The 12,289-nt window shown below is 46.9% G+C and overlaps 1 protein-coding gene across 3 annotated transcripts in view, besides 1 other annotated feature; it reads right to left on the reverse strand.

The window, feature by feature from the left end:
* FSTL4 (follistatin like 4) overlaps positions 1 to 12,289 on the reverse strand; it is a 645,613-nt gene that overhangs the window by 327,586 nt on the left and 305,738 nt on the right. The gene's annotated exons all lie outside the window — the stretch shown is intronic.
* Positions 780 to 1,280: an enhancer, noted in NCBI's record as "H3K4me1 hESC enhancer chr5:132860511-132861011 (GRCh37/hg19 assembly coordinates)". NCBI's record gives its function as "activates a minimal SCP1, AML or CMV promoter by ChIP-STARR-seq in naive H9 embryonic stem cells {active_cell/tissue: H9 hESC(naive)}" and the evidence as "EXISTENCE:reporter gene assay evidence [ECO:0000049][PMID:30033119]".

Below are 12,289 nucleotides of genomic sequence, written 5' to 3' on the forward strand. Positions count from 1 at the left end.
ATGAGACAGCAGCAGTCACAAAAGATCCGAGGGGAGCCGCTCAGGGAGAGGGGACAGCACAGCATGTGCACAGGCCCAGGGTGGGAGCAGGTGTGTCCTGCTTGAGGGGCAGAAGGAGGACAGGTCAGCGTGTCTGGAGCATGGGAAGCTGGAGAGAGAGATGGACGGGCTTGAACGGAGACAGGCAGGCAGAGGTGAGATCACACAAGCCCTTGGAGGCCTGGGAAGAAATTGGATTTTATCCTAAGCCTAATGGGAGATCACTGACAATTTAGGAAGATAAATCATTTTCATGACTGTGGGTTTTCCAAGGTCTGACATGATAAAGGGAAAAGGCTTTGTGATGACTGAAGAGTGAAGAGCCAGAGTCACAGCCTCTGGCAATGCAAGAAGAAAGGCGAGAGCGGTGTCAACTCTGAGGAGTTTGTAGGGAATACACACCATTTGCCCGTGTGTCACTTTGCCTCATTCAAGATGCTGTAACTTGCAGAACAGAGGGCTAAAACAACTTCGCGCAGAGAAGCCTGCTGTAGACAGGGGCACCACAGAACGTGTGCTTCTTCCAAGCTGCGTCTCTTTGGACCCGTACTTGCAATACTAACAGGTGCATAGAGGGCCCTCCAGAAATGCACCCCCCACCCCGCCCCTGGGTGGGTTGTACAATACTGCAGTGATTCAAACGTATAGCGCTAAAGCCAGGAAAATCACAACCAACAGACAGCCCCCATGGGCCTCTGCACACAAAAGGCAGCCATCCCGCTGCCTGGCCCAGCTAGTGAGTGAGGCCACCCACTGGGCACCCACTCAGATGCACTGGCAGATGTTAGGTTTCAGGACTGAATTTGGCCTCACTGTACTCAGTCCTCCTCACAGCCCTTTGGAGTCACCTAATCTTGCTAATATGTCTGTAAATGCTTTAGATGAGGAGTCCCTGAACAGACACATGCACCACTAACTTCATGGATCAGAAAGTCCTCTGAAACTTTACCTTTTTAACCCTGTTACATGGAGTCTTCCCAGCAGACGGGTGCCCCAGCCTTTCCGCTGTTCTGGCAAAACAGGCCCACAGTCGATATGTCAGTTTGATGTCTCAAGAGCTACCATTAATTATGTATCCCTTTGGTTAGAAATGCAAATGACCCTTGGCAGTCATTTAGATCTCCATGTGAATTCGCTTATCACGCACATTCCACCCCAAACAGAGCTGGCCAAGCCAAGCGTGATGCTTGATGAGGGCTGGGTTGTTTCCCCCTGCACTGCCCAAGTCCATGTCTGGTTAGCCTGTGCCTGACTTCTACCTCACAAGGATACACAGAGTTCCCACTCAAAGGCAGCTTCTTTGTTTCCCACTGAGAAAGAGCTGCTTAGGGAGAATTAGAGCAAGCTAAATTAGGGGCATTGAAACCATCCTGCCCAGTGGTGTTCCCCAGCTCTGGATCCATAGCTTTCTCATTTGATGGTGAGTGGGGGGAGTTTCTTATTCATCTTAAGCAGTCTCCTCACGGTCTCTGTTCTCCTGAGACTGGCAAATGATCATCAGAAACCGTCCTGGCCTTGGCAATGATGCCGGCCTCACTAAACAAGCTATATCGCAGCAGTGTAATTGCCAGTTAAAGAGCACTTCGTCCTAATTAACCTCTTCAGGGAATGAGTAAAAGCATCAAGAATTCCAGAGTTCACAGAACCTGTGCACAAGCCCTTGTCATGCAAATGAAGAAATTGAGTCTTGGGGTGAGCAGGACCCGAGGTCCCTCAGCTGACCAGTGCAGGACTCGGACCAGAATCTGGACTTCTAGACTGACTCCTGAAGCCCTGGTTTACTCCATCAGCCAGTGGGAACTGTCAATATTCTCCTAGCTCTTTATGCCTTCAAATATGTCTGTCAAAGACATATTAGTTGAGCATGTATTACATGCTCAGCACTGTGCTGGGTGCTAGGGTCATGGGGGAGACGGAGCAGCTTGTTATTCTCTCAACTGTCTACTGAGCACCTCTCACGGGACACACACACTGAGGGCCCTGAGGAAAGCACGACTTTAACAGATGAACAGCTTTGATACCTAGCACTGTGATTTTCTAACTACAATGAGACATTGATACTTATCACACACAGTTATTGGACATACTAAATGCCATGATATTTATGAGGCCTACGGTAAATGATCAATACACTGTGGCTATTTTTATTCTCTTCACTATACAGCTGGGGAGATGAAGCAATTCATGAAACCAAGGGGGTAGCCTCATTATCAAGCACTGGACAATGAGGGGTGGGTTTTGAGTGTTGAGGGAAAGAAGGTGAACAGGAGGGAACTGAGAAGTCTTTGCAGAGATGAGATCTCAGCTGGGTCTTGGAGGAAGAGGAGAATCCATTCACAAATAGGGAAAGCCCAAATGTACAGCCAGAACGAAGGGGACTTGCTGGGTTAGGGTGCGACTCCTATTGGAGAGGTAGGGTAAGGATCCCCCACGGATGGTCTTGAAATTTGGGCAGAAAAAAAGTGAGGGTTCCTAATGACCCCTGGAGGCCATTTAGATCTCCACGTGGATTAGCTTATCACACACACTCCAACCCCAACTGAGCTGGCCAGTGGTGAGAAGATAACATTTGCGGACGAGTTGTGAAGTGGCGCTATGCAGGCAGGGTCAGGGAGGCTCATGGGGAGGCCTTTGCAGGGAGCTGGGGATGAGGACTTTGACCACATGGGAGTAGCAGGAGGAGATGGGATGAATGCGAAACAGGAGAAGGAGCAGAACTTGTCGGCCAACCTGGACAATTCAGACTTGGACCAACAGGAGCTGGTGAACGGGCTGAAGTTTTGAGCTTGAGTGGACAGAGTTGCCAGCCAACTTCCTTCACCTCCAAAAGGCTCTCCGGAGGCAGTTTCCAAGTCCTCCTTTTTCCTACCCAACAGAGCGGCAACTGGCAGCAAGCTGCCAGTTGTGTAAGTCCACACAGCCACAATCACTGTGGATGAGGATGAATCCTGAGTGCAGCCCTCTGTCCTGAGAAGCTCATCAGGTCTGTGTGGGTATCTCCAAAAGACTGCTAATGCACTCATTCTCAGTCCCCACATGTCCTCTCGTCTCTTGTTTTGTTTCTACATTGCTGGAAAATGAGAGGTTTCAGCAGAAGATGGAAAATTATCCTTTATTTTGATTCTGTGTTTGAACACCTTCCACTTCTCTGCAAATTGAGGGGTATATTTTAGTATAATGCTTGGCTCATGGAACCAGAGAATCAAAAATTAGTCAAGGTTCCAAGAAGACTGGTGAAGCTTTATGCCTCAAAGAGACATGCTACTTTCACTAGAAACTGCTTCTGACTCCTCATGAAGACCAGGGTTCACCCCCAAATCAGGCAGGGCTAGCCAGTGTCTGTTCTCTCAGCCTCTCAGTTGTGATCTCTTTTGCTCTGAGATGTGCACGTGTACACACACACACACACACACACACACACACCCATAAGTGCATTCACTGCATAACTGACCGATGTTATAAGCATTCCAGACATAAAATGCTGTTAAACAGCCAAGCATCATCCCTGGAAATGCAGGCCTGAACTGATCCTATAAGAATTATAAACTGAACAGCTGAGGGAACTCAGAGTAGCAAGAGTCATTCACATTATAGAAATATTCTCCCCTTCTCTCCATTGCACTTTTCCTTATTTGGAAACATGAAGGTGAAGGTGCAAAAGACACATCACACACAGACTGAGCTATGGAGTGATAACCAGCAGGGTGCCTGGCCCAGACAGCTATGTCAATTCTGGGCCCAGACAAAAGAGTCCAAGTAACCCCCCTGATATCCAGGGGTCAGCCACCCCACATGGCAGCCTTGGCCTTGCTTGGCTTCCCACCCCCAAGGAACACTGGGCACTCACCTGCAAGTTATTAAGACACAAATCTTATTAATTTAGCTCCTCCAAGCCAGATGCCTATGTTGGGAAGGAGGGTGAACCTGGTCATCAGGGTTAGCCCAAGCACCACAGAATAACCTTGATAAGTGTTATCATTTCAGGGATTTGGTTCAGGTGTACACAGTGGAACAGGTGGAATGTGGTTGCAGGTAAAATGCCATGTCCCCTCTTGCTGTTTCCGTAACAATTTCAAAGACACACTATTATGGCTCTAAGAAATAAGTCACCTTTAACAAAGGGGGGATTTCCCACAGAAAGGTGAGCTGCCCATTAGGCCTCACTATGGCCTACAAGCTCTGCCAACCTTTCTGGTAACTCTTGGCTTCTTCTCCTCCATTTAACATCTGCTCATATTGAGTTTTTGTTCCTAACTCAAGCCATGCTCTCTTGCTCTCATGGAATTTTCTCTGCTTTAAACACCCTCCCTCCACCTGGCCCCTGCCCCACCCTGCCCCACTGGGCCATCTCCTTCTGTTCTCTGGTTAGATGCCCTGTCCTTGGGAAGGATGTCCTGACCACCGCGTCTGGATTCGACACCACATGCAAGCTCTCATGCTACATGTCACGCTGAACTGTGATTCCTCCTCCCTGAGCTTGTCATGGGATGACTACATCCCTAGCACCCAGGGCAGAGCCTGGCACGCTCCTCTGTGAACACTTTTTGAATTGAGTTGTGCTGCTGAGACACCAGCAGAACCCCTGCCCCACTCTTCTGCAGGCCAAGGCCACTGTTCCCAGCCAACAACTCCCTTGTCCACACAGCTCCTTCCATCCCAGGTGACTTGATATCCATTATAGTGCATGGTTCCCCCAACAACCCGTGTAAGTCAGCATGGCAGGGATACCACCTCATATTTTAGAAATAAACAAATTGAGATGTCTAGTAAAACCTGTTCTTGTTTGGACACAGAGCTGTTCGCTATCTCCAGCCTCTCTTGCCATTAGATGTGGCCATGTGATTAAGTCTCCTCCATGAGAATGTGCATGGCAGTGAGCAGTGCCACCTCCAGGTCTGGCCCATGAGAACGTCCCACAGGCATGGGGGAGCCTCCATGCTCTTGCTCCGGCTGCCTGGGATGCTGATCCCCAGGGTAATCTTGGAAGCCATTGTCAGCCTGGATCCACGAATGGCCATGTGGAAGACAGCTGCCTTGACAATCTGAACACCTGCTCAGAATTGTTCCTGGAGCAAGAAGTAAATGTCCATTGTGTGAAGCCACTGAAATCATGGAGACTATTTGTTATTGGAACCTAGCATTCCCTGTGAATACCCAAAGGCTCAGAAAAGATAAATGACTTGCCCAAAATATTAACAACAAATGCCAGCACCAGAATCCATGTTTTAATTAAGAATCCTCACATGACTCTGTGGGGAACTAGCATTCATCACAAGGTATTTTATTCAGGTGTCTCCTTCTCTGTCTTCCCTATGAGACAAAAACCAACCCAGACACAAACAGTCAGCCCAGGAACCTACCAAGCTAGCACCAGGCCTGGTACATTGCAGGCTCCCAATGCTTTCTTGAGCACACACTGACATAATGCTTACTATGCACCAACCTCTGTTTTAAGATTTTCATAAATTTTAATTTATTGAATTCTCCTAACTTTATGAGGTATGATTATTATCATCTCCATTTTATAGATGAGGATAATTAGACAACACTGCCTCCCTGGTGCCTGATCAAGGAGCTAAAAGATCCCCAACCCAGACAGGGCATTTCTGGTTCTAAACCCTCTCCTAAACAGAGGCTCAGCAAATGGTAAAGTTCTGCTTCGTTGAAGACTCACCCTTCAGAGTTGCTGGTTCAGAACTCTGTTGAATGGTTTTTTGTATATTGCTATTCATCTGTGTAATATTTATTTTCTATGGGAAAGGAAAATAAAGCAATAAAATGTTTCGGGTTTTTTTTTTTTTAAGCGTCCTGTCTGATTGGATTTGTGCAGCAGTCCTCAGAACACGGATCCAAACCAGTACATGAAGACGTGACTTTGTGTAACCATTTCTCTTTTCTAAGGCAGCGAGTCCAGCTTTTTGGAGTGTGACACCCAATTTGCTTGTTTGGATTTTGTTAGACTTTTTTTCTTTCCTGCCTCCAAATTCAGCTAAAACTGCTGTATTCTGTGTATTTGTTTTTTGTTTGAAGCAAATGGTTTTGAGACTTCTGTGCCAGCCCTTGAGACAGCTGGAGACACCCTGGGGTGCTGTAAAACCGACGGTGGGAATCACTGATCTCAGAGAGAAGAAAAAACAGTTCAGGGAAAACTAGCAAATCAGCATCTTCTGAAGCTGCAGCATGAGCCAAGAGCACTGCGGCCCTGGATAGCACCGTTAGGAGCCGCAGAAATGCCTCCCCACTCATGCTGGAATTCAAGGTTACAGCAGGTTAAAAACACCTTGCTGGACTCCAGGTGCCCACCTCAGCACCTTCGCTGCCTGCTCAGGGACATTCACAATGGAGCAGTTCTCAGGGCCCACGTGTAATCCTCAGTCACGTGACATGCATTGTGTGCTCAACACTAGCCTAGGTGCCTTGAAGACAAAGACAAGTAAATAAGCTTAAATGAAGCAAATCTAGTTTCTGCCTTCAAGGAGATTGTGGTGAGGAAGAAGATAAGACACAGGCATAATATCTTGCATGTGTCCTGGAGAACATATGAGTTTAGCTAGAAAGAGAACCTCATCTCCTCCAGCTAGAAATTGCTGTGTGGCTGTGCCACTTTTAGGTGGACCTATGGCCAGGGACCCTGCCCCGACAACAGGGACCCTTCACCATGGAGCCCCAAGATAAACAAGGCACATTGACAGAGGAGGGCCAAGAAACCCCTAACTAAGGGCTATACCCAGGCCCCACACCCCAGTGCAGAGACCTGGCAGGCTGAGCTGGGCCAGAGACTCAGACTCACACAGGCCCTGAGTGGGCTCTCCGTGGTCTTTCCCTCTAACACCCACAGACTCTGATATGGGATCTTGCCCCAGTGCCAAATGCTGCGCAAGCCTGGACCACAGTAGGCTGTGCCCAGACTGGACATGGGCCAGACTCACATCTAGAAGGTGGGACTGAAGATGAGGCTCGGCCCTGGATAGGGCCGATATTCTTCTTTGCCGGGAGAGCGAATGCAGAAAAGGATGGGCTCAGACACACGGACTGACCCCTCCTTGTGTCTCACTGGCTGATCATTGATGGGATGCTCTCTTCACACGGTTTCTTTCAACATCTTTCCATCGAAATCTTAGCAACCTTCTTGTCAACATGTTCCTTTAAAGCAATTGTTACAAGGCACCTCTTTGGAAGAATGTGCTGACCCCGTCCCCCAGTGGTATGAGTGAGGCATGAAAGGGGAGGAAGTGAGATGTCTGGGGCCCTGACTTTGGCCCTAATCTCTGTGGTCACCTTGTCAGAGAGGGACCCACATCATGAGTTTCAGGATTATTCTTACCCATGACTCATGAGGCCTTAAGCGTCCTACTTCTGCCGTGGAATATCCCCTGGAAAGACTGAGGGCCAGAGCTGAGTGTGGAGTGTGGATCCCTCCACACTGGCAGCAGCCAAGCCCCTCCACACTGCATTTGTTCCCTAAAAGAACATTTTTCTAAGCAGGCCTCTCAGCTCTGGGGAATGAACAGCGATGGAGTGAGCAACAAATTGTTTCATTTGCTAAGACTGTGAGCTACAACTTGCAATAAATCAGTGTGAAATGAGAAAGTAGAAAGGGAAAGATGATCCTTCTCCAATTGCCAGTCAAGCTTTAGTTTACAGCACCACAGGTTTGGTGATAGGGCGGAAATCATCAGACTCCTCGCTCACAGTCATATTCTCAAAGGAACCATACTGAAAGCATTCCAGTGAGCTCATTCCTGGCATCCATCCCCGTAGGACACAACCCTTCAATAATCTGCATGCCTTTACTGTGGGAAGGAAAACCAAGTACACTCCAGGTCAGGGATGGAACAGGGCATGCCTCACAATAGATGGAATAACGGCCCCACAGATATCCACATCCTAGGCCTGGTACCTATACATATGTTCTCTTACACTGCAAAACGGACTTTACAGAAGTGAGTGAGGTAAGGATCTTGGATGGAAAAATTATCCTGCAAGATCCAGGAGGGCTCAATACAATCACAGGTCCTTCTAAAAGAGAGGCAGGAGGGTCACAGTCGGAGAAGGAGACATGATGACAGAAGTAGACAAGTAGACGTCAGAGTGATGTGGGGCCACAAGCCAAGAAGGCAGGTAGCCTCCAGAAACTAGAAAGTGCAAGGAAATAGATTCTCCCTTAGAGCATGTAGAAAGAAGAACTGCCTCTGCACTTGTTGGCAGCCCCATAGGCCAACTATTATAAATAACTTCCAGGAATCTACAGTCACCACAAAATGCCCCACATTATCCCCTCCATGCTGTGTATTTTCTACATTCCTAACATAGAGAATTATGTTCAATATCATCTCCAGATCTGATTGGGAATAGAAACAGCTTCCTTTTTGGTTGTGTAGGCACACGGCAAAGCCTCTATTGTAGAACAAGGCCAGGGAGGGAGGTATTCCGGTTAACCCAGGACACTGGTTACTTAAGAGCTCCCAAGGAAGACCCTGCTAGACAGAACAGAGGCCCCTCTCATGAGCCACTCATAAACAGGACTCTGGGCGTCAGAACCAGGCCTTATCTACCCCATAAGGACTTCTGATTCTCTGAACACAACAGGACAAAAATGTACATTGCACGGTAAACATACGCTGGATTTGCTCTGATAACCAAGGTCAGAGCCTCCTTTAACAACATCAGTAGGGGCAATGTCACCTGTGGCCATCCTGGCTCAGAAAGGCCGGTCACAGATGGGCTGGCCAGCCAGAGTCCTAGAGTACCAATCCTGAGTCTCCCCTTTGGTCAAGGGCCCTGGAGTCTCCCCTTTGGTCAAGGGAGTACCTGGAGAAAAACCATTCAGAGGACAAAACACAGCCAGGGCAGGTGATCTCCAAACCCCAAGCATCCAACCAGAAATGAACCCCAGAGACCCTGTCTCAGCTGTGAAACTTCTAGGGCACAGTTCCAGGGATTCCTGCTCAGCAACAAACAGCACTTCGTGGATTCTACGAGTTTATGCAAGAAACAGAGGGGACTTGTGGGCTTTATCATGGAATTAGAGCTACCAAAAATAATCCTCATGGTCATGATGTAGCTTTCACAATCTACATGATGTAGATTTTAGCTTAGTGAAACTGATCTCAACTTCTGACTTCCAGAAGTGAGATAATAAGTTTCTGGGTATTTGTTGGGTTTTGTTTGTTTGCTTGTTTGAGACAGGGCCTCCCTCTGCTGTCCGGGCTGGAGTAAAGTGATGTGATCTCTGCTCACTATAGCCTCAAACTCCCTGGAATCAGGTGATTCTCCCATCTCAGCCTTCTAAGTAGCTAGGACTACAGGCTTGTAGCAACATGCCCAGCTATTTTTTTGTATTTTTAGTAGAGGCAGGGTTTTGCCATGTTGGCCAGGCTGGTCTTGAACTCCTGGCCTCAAGCAATCCGCCCACCTCAGCCTCCCAAAGTGCTGGGATTACAGGCGTGAGCCACCATGCCTGGCCAGTAAGTTTATACTTAAGCCACCCAGTCCGTGGTAATTTGTTACAGCAGCAATAGGAAAACTAAGCCAGGCTCTCCATGTTCACAGTTATCTCCACCCTGCTTTGGGCAGGACAGACCTTCAGCAAAACCTAGTGAGGAGCGGAACAAACATTCGCTTCATCAGCAACCTCATCCCACATTGGAAATGAGTCACCCTGAGTGCCCACCCCAGAGCAGATGGACTGTGAGCCTCAATAAGGAAGAGTGGGTGGTGGATCTAAGTGCCCCTGAGGAGTCTTCATCCTGCCCCATCACCCTTTCCTGCCCCAACTTCTCTCTCCAGGTGCTCCCACAGCTCTGGCTCCCCCGAGTCCTTGCTCCTGCTGCAGTGCTCCTCCTGCAGTGCTCCTCATCTACATCTCCTCCTGAAACCTCAGGCCTAATACTGTACATTGGGCCTAACATTCTCCTGCAGCACCTACTTGTCTTCATCTGTTTTGTGCTACTATAACAGAATTATCTGAGACTAATTTATAATAAACAGAAAGTTATTGGCTTATAGTTCTGGACTCAAGGAAGTCAAAGAACCCATCACCTGGAAAATAAACTGGTTGTATTAAAAAAAACCTGATTGTAAAAAAAAAAAACCAAATAAGTAAATTGAGTCTCCTATGAAATAGTGGAGACTCCATGTTAAAGCTAACAAATCATCCTAAACTATCAGATGCACATTATTTTTCTGTCACTTGAGTTTAAGAAAAGGTCAGTAAGAAATTCCCTCTGCTGTTTTCCAGTGAGTCGAGGCCTTCTCTGCCTTCTAGAATTTGGTTCTAACTCTGGGACAAGTCCAGGCACGGGGCAAACTGAGTTCCAGGATAAAAAGTGGATCTTTTCTAATACATTTAACTACAGTAATGAATTCCTTATATTCTGATGTATTTCTTCACACTATTCCTGTTACTTTTATGCCTAGTGATGAAGTTTCAGATAGCTCTGCCCTCCATGTGCCCATGATGACTATTATTGTGGAACCATTAAATTCAGAACTCATAAGGTCCAGCCTCAGAAGAATAATGTGGTTGAAGGAACATAGCCCCAAGGTCAAAAATAATTTTAACAACACAAATTCTTTCCTTGCTTTTTTCAAAAATGGTTACTAGGATACAAATACCTAATTCATGGAGACATTTGATAACATCCCTTCTTTTCTCCCCCAGTTCCCTCACACGCCCAGCTGTCCCCAGCATCACATCCCCAGCTGTCCCCAGCATCTCTCCCAAAATTGTCTTAATCTCTTCACTCCCAGCTTCTCTGCAACTCCCTTCCTTTTTTCCATGCAACCTCCTTTTCATCCTTTTAATATGTGAGCCAACCTGCCTCTTAATGAGAAAAGAAGGAAAAAGGGGTGCTATGAACTGAATTGTGCCCCGCCTAAAATTCGTATGTTGAAATTCTAATCCCCAATGTGACTATATTTGGCATTAAGACTTTCAAGAAGGTAATTAAGGTTAACTGTGGTCGTAAGGAGGGGGGTTATCTGACAGGATGGTTGGCCTCATAAGAAGAGGCACAGAGAACTCTCTCCCTCTCTCTACCATGTGAAGACAGAGCAAGCAGACAGCTATCTACAAGCCAGGTAGAGCACCCTCACCAGAAATCAAGCTGGTCAGCATCCTGATCTTGGACTTTGCAGCCTTCAAAACTGTGAGAACTGTTGGGAGCAAGCCCCCCAAAATCTGGCCATAAACTGGCCCCAAAACTGGCCATTAAAAAAATCTCTGCAGCAATGTAACATGTCCATAATGGCCATAACGCCCAAGCTGGAAGGTTGTGGGTTTAAGGGAATGAGGGCAAGGAACACCTGGCCCGCCCAGGGCGGAAAACCGCTTAAAGGCATTCTTAAGCCACAAACAAAAGCCTGAGCCATCTGTGTCTTAAGGGCATGTTCCTGCTGCAATTAATTCTGCCCGTCCCTTCGTTTCCCTTAAGGGATACTTTTAGTTAATTTAACATCTATAGAAACCATGCTAATGACTGGTTTGCTGTTAATAAATACGTGGGTAAATCTCTGTTCAGGGCTCTCAGCTCTGAAGGCTGTGAGACCCCTGATTTCCCACTTCACACCTCTATATTTCTGTGTGTGTGTCTTTAATTCTTCTAGCGCTGCTAGGTTAGGGTCTCCCCGACCGAGCTGTTCTCGGCAGAGAACAAATGTCTGTTGCTTAAGCCACCCAGTCTATGACATTTTGTTATAGCAGTCCAAGTAGATTAGGACAAGGGGGATAGAAATTGGGTTAGAAATTATGGGATTTTCTTTGGTGGACTGAAGGAAGTGAAGAGGAAGTAAACATTCTCATACTAATGAGTGTCGTCGTTTTGTGTCATAATAGTGCATATGGCACTAGGTTATTATTTACACAGAGACTGAGAGACTGAACTGCTCCAGAGTAGGGACAATGCCTTGTTCATCTTTCTTTCGCTATCACCAAGCAGAGGGCCTCTCACACACAGTAGATCCTCTGCAAATACACACGGAATGGTGAATAAGCAAGTGAATGAATGAATGAACTGAGCACATGACGGAAAGGCATGCACTGGTCTCTGGTTAGCATCAGATTTTACCCCCATTATAAAAGTAGTATCTGTTTATTGTGGGAAAATATTAGAAAATACAGATAATAACGAAGGAAAGAAAAATTATTCCAACTGACTAGTCAGAAATAAACCTCAATTTTTAGTCTATATTCTTCCATATTTATCTCATTTATTTATTTATTCAGATTAGAAACTGGAAACCTACAGTA

This window comes from Homo sapiens, chromosome 5 (assembly GCF_000001405.40).
Source record: "Homo sapiens chromosome 5, GRCh38.p14 Primary Assembly".
Classification (NCBI taxonomy): domain Eukaryota; kingdom Metazoa; phylum Chordata; class Mammalia; order Primates; family Hominidae; genus Homo; species Homo sapiens.